The 20,218-nt window shown below is 40.8% G+C and overlaps 1 protein-coding gene across 2 annotated transcripts in view; it reads left to right on the top strand.

The window, feature by feature from the left end:
• Window positions 1-20,218, top strand: part of MARCHF11 (membrane associated ring-CH-type finger 11) — a 112,653-nt gene that overhangs the window by 68,121 nt on the left and 24,314 nt on the right. The gene's annotated exons all lie outside the window — the stretch shown is intronic.

Here is a 20,218-nt window from a genome sequence, read left to right as displayed (position 1 = left end):
CTGGCTTGAATTTCTCCTCAGAAAATGGGTTTTCTTTTCTATTGAGTAGTCAGGCTGCAAATTTTCTGAACCTTTATGCTCTGTTTCCCTTTTAAAACTGAATGCTTTTAACAGCACCCAAGTCACCTCTTGAATGCTTTGCTGCTTAGAAATTTCTTCCTCCAGATACCCTAAATCATCTCCCTCAAGTTCAAAGTTCCATAAATCTCTAGGGCAGCAGGAAAATGCTACCAGTCTCTTTGCTAAAACATAGCAAGAGTCACATTTACCCCAGTTGCCAACAAGTACCTCATCTCCATCTGAGACCACCTCAGCCTGGATTTCATTGTCTATATCATTGTTGGCATTTTAGTCAAAGCCATTCAACAAGTCTCTAGGAAGTTCCAAACTTTCCTGCCTTTTCCTGTCTTCTTCTGAGCCCTCCAAACTGTTCCAACCTCTGCCTGTTACCCAGTTCCAAAGTCGCTTCCACATTTTCAGGTATCTTTACAGCAGCACCCCACTCTACCAGTACCAATTTACTGTATTAGTCTGTTTTCATGCTGCTGATAAAGACAAACCCAAGATGGGTAATTTATAAAGAAAAAGAGGTTTAATGGACTCACGGTTCCAATCATGGCAGAAGGTGAAAGGCAGGTCTTATGTTGGCAGCAGGCAAGAGACAGAATGAGAACCAAGTGAAAGGAATTTCCCCTTATAAAACCATTAGATCTCATGAGACTTATTTACTACCACAAGAACAGTATGGGGGAAACCACCCCCATGATTCAGTTCTCTCTCACCTGGTCCCTCCCACAACACATGGGGATTATGGGAGCTACAATTCAAGATGAGATTTAGGTGGGGACACAGCCAAACCATGTCAGGTAGTGTCATTTTATAATTTGGTAGTTTTCGATATGATACAGATTATCTTGTTAGACTTGGAGGCTGGATATTAGAAATATAAATCCACACTATTGTCTGAATCTGCTATCAATAATGATAATGTAAAGACCTATAATTTTTATTATGTTGGCCATTAGGTGTTTGACCTTGGGTAAATCATCTTACCTTTGTCCTCAGTTTCTCTAAAATAGGAGTTTGGACCAGATCATTTCTAAAAAACATATTTAAAAGAAACCTGAATACCTTCTAATTCAAATAAATATCCATTTTTTATGTTTTTGTTGTGTTATATTGTGATCATGCCCTTCATATATGAAGATGCTGCTCTTTGCTCATGAGTAGCAGCCTGTAAGTCAGCAGTGCAAAAATGCAAAAGTAGGTGGACTGGTCAGTCTCCAGCATTGTATCCGGTCTCCTTTTAATAATTTATTTGTGCAAAACAATTTTATGAATATAGACACTACATGATGTCTCACTGCCCTAACCCAAAACTCTTTGCATTATGATTTTTGTGATTTAAAGGGGACCTTTAAAATTGTATATATTATAAAATTTTCTAAATTTTAAAAAATCTGAATATAATTTGCCCAGTTTTTCTAGAGAACCAAGAGAAAAACATATTCCTTAAATGAGACTTCACTTGTATGTTACACTAATGGGCCTGGACAAAAATGTGGCAGTTACGATAGTTGCCCACTTGATAAAACATTACTGGGATTGTTTTCTATCAGAGCACGGTGGAGGAATTTCTGGGAACTTGACCCTCTTAACAATTAATAACTAGAAGCCATTCTTTGAGCACATATGTTCTAGAGATGGTGCTGCGTGTGTTATGAAAATTACCTCCTGTGATGCTGAATTAGAAAAGCTAGTGCTGTTTCTTCTCTATACTCACGACACTTCACTTCTGGCACTAGGCATGTGGGGGATTTTCCACAAGCAATTCTTCAATTCCGTGTGCACAACTCAATTCTGACACAGTTGACCTGGAGTCAGCATCAGATTCTACAGGTTGATGGCTCAGTCCAACAAGACTGCCCCCACTTCAGACACCAGTCCCAAGTCCAGGTTGTCACCTCAGCTTCTAATGACTGGCTATAAGTTGTGGGTTTCCATGCCTCCCCCCACCTGCCTTGGGTCCAGTTGTTAGCTAGAATGGTTCACAGAGCTCAGAGAAACACTTTACTTATGTTTTCCCTTTTGCTATAGAGGATACGACTCAGGAACAGCCAAATGGAAGAGATCCGTAAGGCAAGGGATGTGAGGAGCACACAGAGCTTGCATGCCCTCTCCGGGCACCATCCTCCGGGCAGCTCCATGCGTTCACCCACCCAGAAGTTCTACGAACTCTGTCCTTTTAGGGCTTTATGGAGGTTTCATTACATAGGCATGATTGATTACATCATTGGTCATTGGTGACGGACTCAACCTTCAGCTCCTCTTTTCTCCCTGGAGTTCAGGAAGCGGGGCTAAAAACATTAGCCCTGTAATCATGAGGTTGGTTCCCCAGGCAACCAACCCCCATCCTGAGTCCATCCAGGAGCCACCAGTCATCTTATTAGTGTACAGAAGACATTTAGCACTTTGAAGATTCCAAGGGTTCTAGGAGCTGTGTTCCAGGACATAGGTCAAAGACCAAACGTGTGTGTGTGTGTGTGTGTGTGTGTGTGTGTGTGTGTATTTCTTATGTCACAGATGCTCCAAGCAATTCATAATCCCTGAAGTAGGTATTATTATCCCTATTTTGCAGATAAGGAAACAGGATCTGAAAGTCAAGTGAATTTCCAAGGTTATATAGGAAATGGCAGTTAGGACCCTCATCGAGGTTTTTCCATCTCAAGGTTGTGACCTTGGCCATCATCACCAGCAGGTAGAGAACGTAGGCAGAGTCATGCATGCATGCACTTTACAAATGTTGTCTCCATAAAGCACTCCAAGCAGAGCTCTGCTTCTGTGGCTGCAGGAGAAAAATACCCTGGAGCACAACATCCTCAGGTAACTTAGCTACTTGGAGATAAACTGGTCTTGTTCTGTGTTGTCCACTCTCCCACCCGCCTGGCCTTGTAATCTAAGGCCAGAGCAGCTTCCAAAGATCCTGGTGTGTGGCTTTGCAGCTTCCTGTTTACTCTCTCTCTCCCCTGCCCCAGGCCAGCTGGGGCGTCTGGAAGCAAACATATCTGGTCCTCTGGGCCTCATCTTTTCTCTATGTGAGCCTGGTAACAGTTCTGCCTCCCACAATCCCTTCCTCTCCCTGGCAGATGTCAAGACATGACCTTCCAAGTTCTGTACCCACCACTGCAACCCATACCTGCCCTCGCTTTCCTATTTCTTAACTTAAAAATGTCCAGATATAAGCTTATTTCTTTTAATAAAGGGCACCTTTGAAACGGGAGAGTTCCCTGGCCCCCCTCGCAGGACATGCGACAGGGGTGTGGCTCTCTGTTTGGCTGCCTTGAGCTCAAACCCCTTACGGGAGGGGGAGCATGCAGACAGGCAGGTGTTGGAGCCTGGGTGAGTGCTTTGGGCTCCAGCCCTGCCCAGCTCTGGTGGGTGGGCACTTTGGGCCCCAGCCCCACTCCAGCTCTGATTATGTCTAGGGGTGGGTGCCTGTGACTCCCAAAGCCCAAGGAAGCATGTTACAGTGTGCTCTTTCAGCTTTGCCGTCCACGAATGGCTTGAGTGTTTAACCAGCTCAGTGGACGCTCTGCCTTTTCACAAGGGCAGAAGGCCAGTATGACAGCTTTCTGTATCCTGAGCTCTTGTCCAGCGTCATGGAAGATTCAGGTCACACATGGACTTGAAGGATGTATGTGGGGGTTTTACTGAGTGGTAGAGGTGGCTCTCAACAGGATAGATGGGGAGCTGGAAGGGGGATGGAGTGGGAAGATGATCTTCCCCTGGAGTTTGCCCATCCAGCGGCCGAACTCCTCTCTGACCACCCCCAGCCAAACTCCTCTAGGTGCTCAGACACTCTTTCCCTTCTCTGTTTCTCTGCCACGCCATTCTGCCATTTGTCTGCTTGTCTCCTCATCTCCTCATCTGCTCCTGGAGCCTGGGGTTCGGTATTTATATGGGTACAGGATAGGGGGGCGTGATCGGCCAAAAGGCAACTTTTTGGGCACAAAAACAAGAATGCCTGTTGTCACTTAGGGCTGAGTTTATCCAGGCTTTAAGCTGGGCCTTTGCTGGGGAACCGCCCTCTTCTACCCAGTATTTCCCTGTCTCCTGTCTGTATCACATTTAATATTGTTGTAGCTCTTTAATAATTTGTTAATTACTTGGGAGATACAAGCCACCTTAATTTACTATTTGCAAAACATGCTTAACTCTAGTACTCCCAATCACAAAATTTTTGTCAAAGACGTTTTTTGAAGAATAAATTATGCTTCAGTAGGGACATAACTGACTAAAAAGCAATCATATGGTAATCTGATTTTCAAAAAAAAAAACAATAGTGCTTCCATCAAGCCCTCCTCTCTTTTCCAAACTACTTAGTTTATTTCTTCACTTTAAGCAACGCTTGGGAGAGGAAAAACTCTAGAAAATTTGCCTGCACATTTTATATCAGATAAGCCCTGGTCCTAAGTAAAGTTGCTTATAAGGTGGTTCAGCTGTTATGTGGATACTGTCATCTTCATTTTTCTGTAATGTTTGTTATTTTGGAATGTTTGTAGGGACAATTGAAAATGTTGTAAGAAGTACAGGTAGTACAGGTGCAGCTTCGTAACACACCTCACCTGCAGCCAGGGCCCAGCCACATCTGACGTTCATGGGGCAGGTGGTTTCTTCCATTTCCATGAGTAATGGGCCACCTCCCTTGAACTGACAAGAAAGATTAAGAATGAGTAGGAGTGAGAATATATGACCCCAGAGAGAATCAGAACACCCACAATCCAAACACAGCACCTGTTTTAGTCTTTGTGTGTGATAGACTGGAACAGGGTTTCTCAACCTCAGCACTATTGACAGTTTGGGTCAGAAGGGTTTTTTGTTGCAAGGTCTGTCCTGTCCATCGTAGGATGTTTATCAGCATCCCTAGCCTCTACCCGCTAGATGTCAATGGCACCTTCTCCAGTAATGACAACAAAAAATATCCTCAGATATTATCAAACACCTCCTGGTGATAGGGTAGGGTAGGGTAGGGCAAAATCACCCTTGGTTGAGAATGACTGGACTAGAATTAGAAGCTAAAGTGGTTTTTGGGATCCTTTCATGCTGTCACAACAAGTCACTCATGTAAAGAAAGAAAACAAAACCACGCTTCATGCATGGGCCCAATGTGTCTTGTGTTCTGATGCTACCATGGCATTGGGCCAAGTCACAGAACTCAGACATCCTGCCTGTAGAGAGCTCACAGTATGGTCAGGGAAGCAGATATGTCAAAGAACAATCATATTTTAACAGGATTTACAGGGAGAAAATTGGTCATATTGTTGGATGTTATGTAGATAGAGCTATCAGATTGCCGAACACACTTTCTACTTTTCAAATGACCCCTCTGGGGTTGGTAGACATAGGCTTATTTTGAATGGGGTGCCACAGAGACACCGCTTGCTCATTCCCCCTTCTTGGAGCCTCATTCAGGTTGCTCCTGCCTGGAAGGTCTCATGTCAGACTTTTATATCTCCCAATACGCCCTGCCATTTACAGGGAGGTCTGCCTCCTACAGGAAGCCATTCTAAATTGTTTTAGCTTGCATTGATGTCTGTCCACCCAGCTCCCATTATGAAACTCATGGTCTCTTCTACACAGTTTATGGCTCGACATGCAGTGTTGTTTGGTCCCCTCTGTTTCCCATGCCATGATCTTATCAAGTAGATTGTGAGCCGTTTGAAGGTAAAAATCAGATGTTATACTGGATTATTTGCATAAAAGGGCTAAGCAAGTCACTGTTTGACTATTTGTCATTGACTTGCAAAACCAGAGATGGGAGGGGAACTCAAAAGTATGGGGAAGGCAAGTGAAAGATAAAATGAAATTGAAAAAAAACAAAACAAAAAAAAACAGGAAGCCAGAGATTGAGAGGTGTTTGGCCTTCTGATGGGCACATTCCTTTCTGCCTAATGAACTTCTATAGATGCTTCAAAACCCCAGAGTCCATGTTACCTTCTCTGTGCTTTCTGTGGCTTGAGGTGACTGGGGGATCCCCTGCAGCCATTGGCCAAGTGTCTCCTCTCTTCCTGGACTGTCAGGTGTTCTGGCCAGGGCTGGGGTATCTCAGTACATTTCTGCCTGGCTTGGCAAATAGTGAGTTCTCAATCAAAATATGAATGATTGCCCTAAAGTTTAAGCAAGGGGAAGATCTCTTTAGTGAGGAAAAGCTTGTTCTTTATTAATACCATAAAACCCTTATTGATGGGAAAACTAAAGGACTGCGAGGAATTCTAGGAACTCATAGAAACGCATTTGTTTGTTTGTTATGTTAAAATATTATTCAAAGTAAAGGATAAAATATGAGAAGGTATCCTAGCTATCCCTCCCTTTCTCCATTCCTTACTGAGGATTAATGAGCTGCCAAATCTCACATAAGAGATTTACAGTTCTTTATGTCAGTGGAAAGAATTTCTTTGCACTTCAAGCAATGTGATATGCAAGCCACAGCAGGATGTCAGGAAAGGAGACATGATTTGGAGTTTAACTGGGAGATGGGTGGGGCAGCAGTGCCCAGACACACTGGTGATTATTCTTCCATCAGACTTCGTCTAGAAGCCTCCAGAAGTGAAGGGCTAGGGGATTTGCCTTACTCAGAGAAGTTATCAGTTAGCGCTCTGTTACCTTTGAAGAAAAGTTACAGCTATGTGAACACCCACTATGTGCCCAGGCACTGTGGGATGTGGGATGTGTGTGTGTGTGTGTGTGTGTGTGTGTTTCCTTTAGTCCTTACCATAACCTTATGTAATAATTACTATTATACAATTTTAAAGGTGAGGAAAATAGGTTCTTTTTGCTCAAAGCCATACAGCAAAGAGATGGAGTAACAGACCCTCAATTCAAATCTGACCTCAGAGTCCAAACTCATTAGCCAGCCTACAACCTTCCAGGAAGCAAAAAAAGAAAAACAAAACAAAAACAAACAAAAAAACCTGAACTTTTTTTTTTTTTGAGGTAAATGGCCTTCCTTGGGGTTCCCTCTCTGTTGGGTTATGCCAGGAGCTAGATTTACTTTTAAAAATTAAGTGTATTTCAAGTATTTTACGATTGAAGATAACACACACCAACCGGACAAATAATTGAAAGAAGATTTTATTCATTTTGCTATTTTAAGGACTTTTCTTCCAGGGCCTTAAAAATAGCTTTATTGAGATGTAATTTATATGCTATAAAATTCCCCCATTTTAAGTGTACAATTCAATAATTTTTAGTAAATTTATAGACTTGTTCAACTTTTATCACCACACAGTTATAGAATATTTTATCACCCCCAAAACATTTCTCATTGTTTTAAGGGCTTTTTGTTACAGAATTCCCAAGTTAGTTGTAGGGAAAAGGAGATGGAGGAGGAGGGATAAGGGGAAAAGGTGGGAAGGAAAGAAAGGTTGAATAATGAAACGAAGTGAGTACTCTAGGGAATTATAGAGCGGAAAGGGGCCTTAAAGATGGTTTAATCAAAATCCTCATTTTAAAGATGAGGAAGAGAAAGGGTCGAGAAGCTGGGCAGCTCAGTTGAGTTGGTGATACACGAAGTCTCTGGTTTTCTGAACTTTGGCCTGTTTCTCCTGCAGTTACCATGACACAAAGATATTTAGTGGTTTCAAACAACTATTTTCCTTTTGCTCACAATTTTATGGTCCGAAAGGGTTCTGCTGGGTGATTTGTCTGTGGTCAACATGGCATCTGCCTAGGATTCTTGGGCAGGAGGATGCACTTCCATGAGAACTTCGCTTACATGCCTAGTTCCTCGGTGCCCCTTGGTCTTCCTCTCCACATGGCGTCTCATCTGCCAGGGCCTCTCTCATGTGTCTTGAGATTCTCATGGCCTGGTGGTTTCAGTAATTCTTATGCGGCATGACTTTTAAAAGAGGGGAAACAGAAACTGCCAGGTCAGTTAAAATCTGTGTTTGGAATTGACACAGAGCCACTTCTGCCATATGCTATTGGTCAAAGCATCCCCTATATTCTAGGGGGTGGAGAAATGGGCACAGCTTCTTGATGGGGAATGGCAAGAGCCACATGGCAAAAGAGAACATGGACAGGATGTATTATTTTAACCATCTTTGGAAAATACAGGAAGCAAGAACAGGACTAGGCAGGTGAACATCTCTGCAACATCCTTCCGCATTTAAACCTGGTTCTTTCTTGTGATTTTGTAATCGTCATTGCCTTGTAGGATAAAATTGAAACTCCATAGTTAATCCCAGAAACCCCCTTCAAGCTTGCTCACGTGGATTCTACTCTCTAGCAACAATAAAACCCCACTATTTCCCAAACACACCGTCCTGTGCACATACTTCTCCTTGTCTGTCCTTCACCTCTCCAGGTCCTCTGCTGTCTCTCCACCTAGCCAACTCTTCTGACCCATCCTGTCAAACTCAGCTCAAGTGCTGATGACTTGATGACCACAGCAGATGCAGTTTCTCCATTCGTCAAGCACCATATTCACTTTTCTCTATGAGTGCATACCAAGCTGTATTGTGATTTTTAGACTTTTGTGGAGTTTTGTTTTTTTTTTTTCTGCCTGGGCAGTGATCTCATGGTGACTTCTGTAGGGTCTGGCATGTACCAGACATCTGATAAGTTGCATGTTGAATGAATACATTTATACATATTAGATGCTTAAAGGGTCAGAATTCCATATGTATTTTTACATCGGTGGTGTTAAGACAAGATAGTTCCCTTGACCCCTTCATGGAACTTGTGAAAGGGTGGCTCCCTTAATCAGCCAACAATGCTCAAACCGCTTGCAAGAGGGGGAGCATGCAGGTGAGTGGCTCCAGGAGCCAGGGCAAGTGCCTTTGGGTCCTGGCAGGAACAAACCCCAAACTGGCCCACAGCAACCATTAAACAGCTCAGTGGAAAGTCAGTGTGACAGCCTCTTGACCTGCACCTGGGTCCTTGTCCAGTGCCCAAGAGGAATGAGGTCACACAGACTTGAAATATGGTGAATGTGGAGATTTTACTGAGCAATGGAAGTGGCTCTCAGTGGGATGGGGAGCTGGAAATGGGTTGGAGTGGGAAGGCAGTCTTCCCCTGGAGTTTGGCTATCAGTGGCTGAACTCTCCTCTGGCCATAGTCTCCGATGTCCAATTGCTGCTTCTCTAGACATTCAGACACTTCTCTCTTCTGTGCGTGTGTGTTGAGTCTGGGGTCTGGGGTTCTTATGGGCACAGGACAGAGGGCGTGGTAGAACAGAAGGCAACATTCAGGCAGGCAAACAGGGATGTCAAGTTCTCATTTAGGATCACAAGTCCAGGCTTGAGGGTGAAGCCCTCTCCAGGGACCCCACCCTCTTCTACCCAGTATTTCCCTGCCTCCTGTACGTATCAGTGTCATCTTACAGTGTGACTTTAACCAAGAACTGAGGCAAAGCCCAGTTCCATGTAGTAGCAGACACTGCACGTTCAACTCAGCTTAATGGGTTGTGTTTTTTCTGTTACTGACTCAGCCACCTTATGATCTTATAGCCATTGTTTCATTCCTCAGAACCCCAATTAAGGAAGGAGACCAATGCATGGAGGCATCAACATACAATTGTTCTAAGATATACCAAATGTCATTTTATAAAGAACATTGAGGTCCTTATGAGAAGAATTACTTGCTTGGTAGCAGTGCCAATTCACAGCTCTCTGCTTGTCCCAACATAGTATGCTGCCTCCCTGTAGCTAAGAGAAGCCACTTTGTAAAAGATTCTGCATAAATTTCATGCAAGGGCTAATCTGCCTCATGCTATGGTCCCTAATTACTAACAGTGTTGTTCTGACTACCAGGAGAAATTGCATTGGCCTACATGAACTGAAATATTTCAAGTGAGAAGGTCATTGCTTTCAATGAAAATTCTGCTCCAAAAGCAAGGTTGAAAACAGCAATAGCCTGTTGAGAGTTTAAATAAGCTCCTTTAGCAAAGGTAGCTTTCAACTCCTGGTGGAGAGAACAAGTAAATCTAGTTATGACCGCCTACTAATTAGTTAGATAGGGCTCCCCTGGGGAGTCTGTATTTAAACATAATTAATACTGAATATTGAGAGGAGTAATGAAATAAAAATGCATCACATGCAGACACACACTTTTAATTCATATGGGGCAAAATCTAGTTACTAAGCCTAATCATATTAGACAGTTGACACTTGGGGAAGATTTCCCTGATTTTAAATAATAGCTAGCACCTGCTTTTGTTATGAGACACAATTAAAACTGAGAAGGAGAAGGCAGCATAAATTGAAAACTGAAAAGCTAAAATGCATTTTTTTTTTGAGATGGAGTCTCGCTCTGTTGCCCAGGCTGGAGTGCAGTGGCACGATCTCAGCTCACTGCAAGCTCCGCCTCCGGGGTTCACGCCACTCTCCTGCCTCAGCCTCCTGAGTAGCTGGGACTACAGGAGCCTAAAATGCATTTTTATTTCAACTTCTAGACTGTTAAATCTGGACTAATAAGCTGCTGACAAATATGAAAATCTACAACAGTCAAATAGGAGATAACATGGAGAGATGAGATGTGGATGGTTCTGGAAGAATTAGAGAATGCAAATGAAGGAATAAATATTCTTTTTTTTTTTTCCTGTGAGATACAGAATCTTTGGTATTTCTTCTGTGGACTCTGTACCCTGTAGTCGGCAAATTAATACTTGCAAGTCAGTCCAAATAGTTGTTGCTCCTGTTAATACTCAGTTATTCAGGGATCTTTCTCAGTTAGACATAACCTTCTTTGTAAGATGCTTACCCTGTAGTTGCTAAATTACTCTGTACCCTATAGTTGCTAAATTAATGCTTGCTAGTCAGTCCAAATAGTTGTTGCTGTTGTTAACTTCTCAGTTAGACATAACCTTCCCACTAAGCATCTTTATTCCTTCTAAGAAAACTTTTTACACCTTCTGCTGCTCTGATATACCTTCCTCCTGTGAATGGAGACAGACAGGTAGGAGATTCTGGAAACAGGATTCAACTCCTGTTTCCAAAGACTTGGCACCTGGGTAGAGGGCAGCCTTTGATGGAAGGGTTTTCTTGGGTAGACACTTCCCTGTAAGGCCCATCTCACTAATGTTGCTCATGTCCTGTTCCCTGGCCACCTACAGCTACCTCTGCCATTTAGAGTCACTCTCCACTCCACATCACTGGGCTCTACTGGTCGTGATTCTCACTTGATAACGAAACCTTCATATTGTATTAATTTTCCTCCTCCTGGAATTGAATTTTGGAACTTCCCAGGCTCATCTGGTCACTCTGGCCCTGGTCTGGTATTCCTTTTGCTGCCTCCATGGCCTTGGGCCAGTTTTACCTTTGTTCTGATTCATCTAGAACTTTATTCTTCTGGTCCTGGAGTTAAAGGGCAGCCTCGCCTACTCCCGTGTCCACTTCACTTGAGTCCTGTACCCCGAGGAAGGTGGGGAAGAATCTCCTTAGTAAAGCGAAGTCTTCCTAGAGGCTGTCTCCTCCCAGGGGACAGCCTGTTTTCTGGGGAAAGAAAATTTCTCTCCTCCTTTGCAATTCTGGGACCCAGGCACATGGTCTTGGACACTTATCCCAGGAACCCCCAGTGTAACCCATCCCTCAGGGTGCTTAATTTCTTCCTCTTGAGCAGCAAATCATACTGAGCACATTGCCATAGTCCTGGGTCATGGCCCTTCAAACCCCCTGGGATTTCCAGGTTTCTGGAAGAGAATTTTTATTGACATTCTAAATTCCATACAATAACATGAAATCCTGACAGCATTCCCGAGTACACATCGGGAGCTTCCCACCCACCTCTCTGCTTTTCTGTTCGTGGCATGATTGAGTTCAAGGTATTTTAATGAACGAAATGATGATCTCTTGTCAAGACACCATCCCTCAAAGGATGTGCGTTACCAATAGCTGAAGAAGTGGAGGAAAGATCTTTTCACACAAGAAAGTGAGTCTGGAGCATTTTCTCATGCCTAATTCTTTTGGAAATAGCAACCAACAATTTTCTTTTTTGATTTCTATGAATTGAAATTATACTGATTAACTTCAAATGAGTGGTCTCTTTTAAAAAACTTTTTAAAAAACCAAACAAAACAAGAAGCTTTTTTTTTTCTGTTACTATTTTGCTCCTATTTTAACTTTTGAAGTTATAATAGAGGAGAATGACTATATGAACAATGGTGAGTCTTTTTAGCCACAACTGTAATTTATATGAGTCTTATTTATTTTTGGCATTTAAAAATGTTTTTAATGAAATTACATCAGTGAAAAATCAACAAAGTGATAGTTTGCATTATAATATGTAAACAGTTGAGGAACCCTTTTTCTCCCTCTCTTTTATGGGTTATAATGATTCTATAAAAATTTGAAACACTAAATATATCTCCATACAGTATCAAATTTCTGCCATGTGGCTGATGTGACAGGACCTGATTCATAGTTGTCATAACCCAAATTCATATTTCTTTCTTAGAAATAAGTGGGTCGTATTTCTTGGAAATTTGATCATCTTCCTTGAAAAATTTCCATTAGTAAACCCATTTCTAATAGGTGTGCATTCCTTTTTTAATGTTCACATCTATATTTTTCTTTTCTTTTCCTCTTTTTACAAAGAAAATGGCTTTTATTAAGCTTAAAAAGTGAGTGTGTACATCAAAAGAGTAGAAACAAGGAAGAAGAGGTTTGGAGGATCATTTAACAAGAACATGCCAACTTTTAAAAAAATAAATCTAATCTAGTTCTTTTTGAATTTTATCTAACAACAGTTTGTAGATTATCTTTTTAAAAAATTAGTCTTAAGTCATTTATGATTTTTGTTGTTCATGTAGTATTGTTTCTGTAATTTCACTTTTCAACCTTTTGCTGCTGATATTTAAATATAATTGATCATTGTTATCTTGTATTTTTTTTCTTTTTTTTTTTTGAGATGGAGTCTCACTCTGCCTCTCAGGCTGGAGTGTTGTGGCATGATCTCAACTCACTGCAACCTCTGCCTCCTGGGTTCAAGCGATTCTCCTGCCTCAGCCTCCTGAGTAGCTGGGATTGCAGGAGACTGCCACCACACCTGGCTAATTTTTGTATTTTTAGTAGAGACAGGGTTTCACCATGTTGGCCAGGTTGGTCTTGAACTGTTGACCTCAGGTGATCCACCTGCCTCTGCCTCCCCAAAGTGCTGGGATTACAGGTGTGAGCCACCACACTCTGCCTGTTATCTTGTATTTTGAGGCTTTGCTAAATTCATTTACTAATTCTAACAGGTTTTCTTGTAAATTCCCTGGGATTTCTACGCAGATAATCATGCTATCTAAAAAGAGAGACAGTTTTAAAGTTTTTCCTTCATCATCTTTATACTTTTCTCTTTTTGTTATTTGGTTCATTGCATTGAGTAGGACACCCAGTGCAAGGTCGAATAGAAGTAAAACGGGTGAAAATCTTTGCCTAGTTCCTGATCAGAGAAAAGATAGCATTTCCCCTCCACACAATTAGGTATGATCCCATCTGTAAGTGTTTTTTAGATGCCCTTTTCAGGTTAGGATGTTTTCTTTCTCTTCCTAGTTTTCATCATGAATGAGAGTATACCAAATGATTTTACCACATCTACTGAGAGGATATTTTTATTTCTAATATGGTCTGTTGCATTGATTGCTATTTGGATGTTATATTGACCTTGCATTTCTAGGGTGAACCTCACTCACTCATGCTGCACTGTTGTTTTTATATATTGCTGGATTCAATTTGCTAATATCTAGTAGAGGATTTCTTCTCATCCGTGCTCATAAAGAATATTGGCCTGAAATTTGTCTTTTCTTATAACGTTTTTGTCAGGTTTTGGTATCAGCGTTGTGTGGCCTTATAAAATGAGTTGGAAAATGTTCTGTCCTCCTCTGTTTTCTGAGACAGACTATGTCAGATTGATAAAATGTTGTCTTTAAATGCTTTATAACATCTGGTGAAACTGGTCCTGGAGGTGTTTGTTATCTTGTTTTGGAAGGCTTTTGATGACAACTTCCGTTTCTATGTAGAATTATTCATACATTCCATTTCTTCTTGAGTCAGTTTTGGTAATTAAGTTTTCCAAGGAAGTTACCTATTTCCTTTATGCTCTGGGATTAATGAGCATACAGCTATTTGTAGTATCTCCTTATTGCTCTTTCCATCTTTAGAATCAGTTATTATATTCCTCTTTCATTTAACTAACTGTTAACAGTTTTTCCAGAGAAATGGTTCTATGTTTTCTAATGATTTTCTCTAGGTTGTTTAGATTTCCTCTTTCTTAGGCAAAGCAAATTCCTTTTGTCTAATCTTTAGCTCAGCTCTGATAAGTTTGTGAAAATGCTTTTCTAGCAGAAAAGACTCATACCAAATCATGAAAATCACTTTTAATATGCAGCCTATAAATACAGCTCTACAAAGAAAGGGCGTATAATTAACTGAATTTTCTATCTACATGTCAACTTGATTACACATTGAGATGTTTTCTGCCAGCATTTCAAATCCCAACTTTAGTGTTGCAATTTGTACACCATCTAAAGATGACTGAATGTAAGTTTTAGCTAAATTCATTTTCTGAAGAGGACACCTCTTAAGAGCAGGTGTTCTCTCCTGTGACACTGTTGAGTGATCCCACCTGTCATAGCGCACAGTATAAATCATCATACTATAAATCTATTAACTAATGATTCATTCTGGCCTGCCTTGTAAAAACAAAGATGAAACAGTACCCGAGACTAAATGATTTAAGGCACCCTGAACAGGTCTTCTCTCCCTCAGAGTTCAGCCTAATTCCCTCTGCGCATGTGCTATTTTCAGAGAGGAAATTGGTTCCTAAATTGAGAAGGTTTATTAACTCTTTCAGACAACAGAAAGGTCCACCTTTTTCTAAATAGCTTCTTAGAGACCTGATGGAGTGTATGTCTTTCTCAAGTGCTTAGCTTACTGGTTGGAAGGGATTTGTACAGGAAGAGACTTGGAGTATCCTGTCATTTCCTTAAAGAAAATTCATAGCTTTCTCTTCCCTCCTTTATTCGCTGAAGGCAGTAATAAACCTCCATTAATTAGTCATACTTCATTGATAAGAACACAGTATTTGCCTGGTTTCACAGCAATCTGTGGAAATTATTGGAGTGCTTTTCTAATTTCTCATGGAGAATACTCCACTAACACGGAACCTCCCACACAAAGATACCCAATTCTGGGCCATGTACATTTTCAGAACCTTTGTAGGACTGGTGGACCCTATTGATACATCTCTGGGCACTTACATGTAAAGAGAATATTACATAATATCCAATGTGAGTTATTTAATTTCTCCCAAAATTTCATTAAAATTAAAGAGATATAACTCCTTGAGTTTGTCGTCTTCGTGTTAAAATTAACAAACTGCAGCTTTCAGATTCAAGAAATATTTGGAGATGCCATTTAGAAAGGTATGAGTCAGATTTTGGAACTTTGTTGGACTGCTTTTGCAGGTGTTGAATTTCTTCCATTGCCACAGCCACCTTTCAAGTAGGTATGACTGAGCCCGTGTTGTTTTTCCTTTCAGATACAGGATGTGTCAGTTTAAGTAGGGAATTAAGGAGTGAGAGCAGAGAGAGTAGGCAGAGAGAAGGGCATTTTAGAAAGAACTGAGGCTTTGGAGACAGATCTGAGTTCTCACTTCTTGACTAACTGGTGGCTTGGCCAGAGTGGATCTTTATCCCATAGGCACTGATGGGATGGATGCAGAGAATGCAAATCTGGCAGTTGGATGAGTGGTGGAAACTAAAGTCAGAATTCCGTGTATTTCCAGCATTTCCTGGGTGTGCTCAGCTCTGTGGTGCACAGGAGGGGGCATGAGACTCAGCTTCTGCCACCGGGAAACTTGCAGTCCAGGGACAATGGGGACGGACACGGCTATCTGGGATTTGAGTGTGAAGGAAGGAAGCCAGCTTTCCCCAGAAGTATAAATAGTAGACAGTGGGGGCCCAGATCGAAGAATCCTGTTTAGGAGAGGAAGTGCAAGAGAGGATGGCTCTTTACAAGAGGTGGCATTAGTGCCAGGTATGGACAGATGGATCAGTTGAATAAAGAGGAGACAGACGTTGCATGCTGAGGAAAGAGCGTGCTCAAAGACACAGAGGGACCAAAGTAAACAGTGCATTTGGGAGAATAAAAAGAAGTCATATGAAGCTGAATTGAGGGATCTCCCTCCCTCCCTCCCTCCCTCCCTTCCTTCCTTCCTTCCTTCCCTCCTTCCCTGCTCCTTTCCTCTCTTCCTCTTAATCGCCCTCCATCCCTTTTTGATCCTTCTTCCAGACACTGAGGATATGTGCTGAACCAAACATTTAGCCCTCCTCGCTGAAGCTTAGAGGGGCAGCTCCCCTTGCAAACATTTAGCCCTCCCCGCTGAAGCTTAGAGGGACATCTCCCCTTGCATTAGGAATGAACCCCGGGGAATTACTCTGAGGAGCAGGGAATGACTCACAGCTTCAAGTTCAGCTAGAAAGCTCTTTCAATAGCCTAGAGAAGACAGACTGGGAAGCTTCATCAGGAGAACTGTCATGGCACTGCAGAGGCAGGGTGTATGCCATTAATTGTTACCAAAGCTCTTGGTGGAATTATTACATAGTCTAGTATAAGTGGTAAAAGCATGAACCTGGAAGCCAGAATACCTGGGTTTGTACCTCAGCTCCAGTCCTCACTGGATGTGTAACCTTGGGCACGTTGTTTAACTTCTCTCTGCCTCAGTTTACTTACCTGTAAAATGGGGATAACAATAGTAATTCCCTCATAGATGAGTTGTGGGAATTAAATGACTTAATACAAATAAATAACCTCTTAGAAAAGTGCCTGGCCTGTATCAGTCCTGTACAAATAGAAGCTATAATTATTAAATTATTAAATTTAGTAAATTACTAAATTACTTCTTCTAGTGCACTAAATGAGGGTGAGCTTTCAAAAGAGGTGCCAGTTGGTCCCACTTTTGCTGGAAACAGTACATGAAATTGTTTATTTTGTAGAAGTAAACAGCTTTTCAGGAATATGAAAGAATCACACATATTCAACTATTACGGAAAGAAAGAAAGCAGTAGCAACTATTTAGAGCCAATCTGGCTATTGTTATATTACTTTTCTTTCCAAATGTGGGAAGAAAGTTAAATGCAACACACACACATGCGCACACACACACACACGTACACACAGACACACACACTCCTATGTATCTCTTTAGAGGAGACAGTGAAATATTTCACTGAAAAGTTTTGGAAATAATCTCACAAACTTAAATCCTGGCCTTTGGATTATTTCCAAAACTTATGGATATAACATTGGGATAGAGAGAGAAGTCCCACGAGACTTATTTTCTACTTTTATCATCGAAGCAAATGGCCCATTAACACAGCTCCTTCAGGCTGAACCCATTAGATAATGCACACCCTCCAAGGACAAGGACACTGGGTGAGTGTTTTCTACTGGTCGAAGGCAGAATTATTTCTTCTAGCGGAAGAATGAGAACAACCCTCCTTTTTGCACATAATGGTAGATGTAAGAAAGCACCGTATATAGTGGGCAGAGAAATTACCAAGATGATAGCTGTCTTCAAAGGGAAATTCCTGTGTTTATAATTGAGTTTAGTAATTTTGGTTTCAGTAATGATGTGTCTTCATTAATTATTCAAAAATGATGTTAATTTTAAGGTTCATCAGTATATGAGGAACGTCTGTTTACTTGTAAACACATTTGCATATTTGCATTATTAGCAGAGAGATATAAAACCAAAAAAAATTTCAGGGAGCTCACTATAGATTTTGTACAATTTAACCTTCTTTAAAAAATAATCTTCAAAAATCCCAAATTACTTCTTATATTTACAACAAAAATAATTTCTATGATGATAGTGAATAGTTAAGCTTCCCAGTGTACTGTAATCAAAGGTTGTTCTTTTTTTCCTTGCCTCCGGACATAATCTTAAACACATTCATTCCAAACTGCCAAGCATTTGAATTGTACACAAATTTAAATTTGCTGTCACCAAAACAAGCGTGAAGCGTCCCTGTTTCTTGCTTCTGGTGAGCCTCTCCCTTCATTCATTCACCCTCCTCACCTAGAAGCAGCCACACCTCATGTGTCAGAAGCATGCCATACAGAAAATGGAAGAGGATGGCACCTCAGGGTCAGTGCATGGCCACTCGATTTCCTGGGTCCCAGGAAACACTACAGCCAGTGCATCCAACCATCACTTCCATCCTGCCAAATCCAAGCATTCAGTAGGGCCTAGCCACACTATGTCTACAGACACCACGGTGAATTATCATGCAAGGAGGCTTGGATCAATTAATTAGTAGGCCTAATTGAAGCCAAATATAATTCATTATGCAGTTTTGAGCTATTCAAATTTACTCCCCTAAGATTACATCATAGACTTATTGCCAAACAGAAAATAGATATCAGTAAAGTCTCTTCTTGGTGAATCCTTGTTACTCCCCTTTGGTTACCTAGGACTCCTCCAGTTCCGGCATACACATTTCGAACATGCGGCCCACCATATGAAAGTCAAACACACACACAAACACGCTTCATGGACTTAAAGGATGCTTTGTTTTTCATCTATCTGATGTGACTAATAAATTGCTAAAGGGTAAAGTAACGTGTATAGACATGGTAGCGCCCATTTAGGATGGTTGATAGCGATTTTCTTCGTTGCTCACCATATTGCATTCAAAACAAATTTTAGTGAGTATCAAAACTGAACAAGAGCAAGAGATACTGACACTTCATATCTGTTTGGTGACACCAGATTTAAAATGGTTAAAGATATGAAGGCCTGGCAGTTTGGAATAAATGTACTTAAAATTATGTCAGTAAACTAGGAACAAAACAACTTCAGACACATCTTGGAATACAGCCTTGATTCATTTGTAATGACAAAATAATATCAACCAGTTTAATTATTTTTTATTTTATTTTATTTTACTTTTAAGTTCTGGGATACAGATGCACAACGTGCAGGATTGTTACATAGGTATACATGGTGGTTTGCTGCACCCATCAACCCGTTATCCAGGTTTTAAGCCCCTCAGGCATTAGGTATTTGTCCTAATGCTCTCCCTCCCCTTTTTCCCCACCCACCAACAGGCCCCAGTGTGATGTTCCCCTCCCTGTGTCCATGTGTTCTCATTGTTCAACTCCCACTTATGAAATAGTTTAATTATTATTCATTCGGAATTGTAAAAGCACAAACCATTTCTCACTAAATTAATCTTTACATTAAAATGAATGGCAATCTCTTTCTCACAGTATTTCACCAAACAGTGTTGTTCGGTTCTGTTATTTAAAACAAAAATAAGGTAATTGACTTTAGAGAATGAAATATTTCAAATGTACATTGGTATTTAATCTTTAACAAATGTAGAATTTAATAGTATCATGAATATGCAAGGTCACATACATACTTAAAAATGTTACATGTAAATTATTTATTTATGGTATGTGTATGAGAGAGAGAGAGTGACAGAGAGACAGACAATGAGGGAGAGAGGATCAGTGTCATAAACTTGCCATTTGGGGATGCATAAGTTCAGATTGAAGGTAAGTAAAGGGTTTGACGAAATTTCAGACTGATCCGATGGACACTGGCTGCTTAAGCTCATTTTTTTAAAGATTTAAAAAACTGTTTAAGAATTCTTCTGAGAAGCCATATGTTGCCATAGCCAGAGCTCTTCCACACAGGATGAGTAAATTATGCGGGTTGTTTTGAGTTTCATGGTTTACTGGCAAACCTTAATAACAATTCTTGTTTCGTTTCTGCTTCAATTATGCAAAAGTGAGAATATGATTAATTAATTCTCTCCAGTCAATAGCAGTCTTGAAGGATTTTTGATCATTTGTACTGTAAATTCTTTTGAATATTGATACTTAGGGCACCAAATTATTTGCCCCACTGAAGCGTACATGCTGAAAATGGTTGTGAGTTTCAAAGATACTTCATGTAGGTACAAATTCTAAATCTTGACAAAAATACTTCATGGCTTACCCATTAGATAATAAAAAGTCAGTAATATCTGAGTATATGGAATGTACCAATAACAGATAATGTACAATTTTATACTTCTCTTATGATTATTCTAGTGTGTTATCTTAAATGACTTTTTCAGTGATGTTCTTATATAACTTATTTGCTTTTTACATTTTTTTCTACAAAAACAAGAGACAGTTCCCTCTTTTTGCAGTAGCCAAATGTATTAAGAGCAAACTAAATT

The sequence above is a fragment of the Homo sapiens genome, chromosome 5 (assembly GCF_000001405.40).
Source record: "Homo sapiens chromosome 5, GRCh38.p14 Primary Assembly".
Classification (NCBI taxonomy): Eukaryota; Metazoa; Chordata; class Mammalia; order Primates; family Hominidae; genus Homo; species Homo sapiens.
This window is presented reverse-complemented; position numbering and strand designations above follow the sequence as displayed.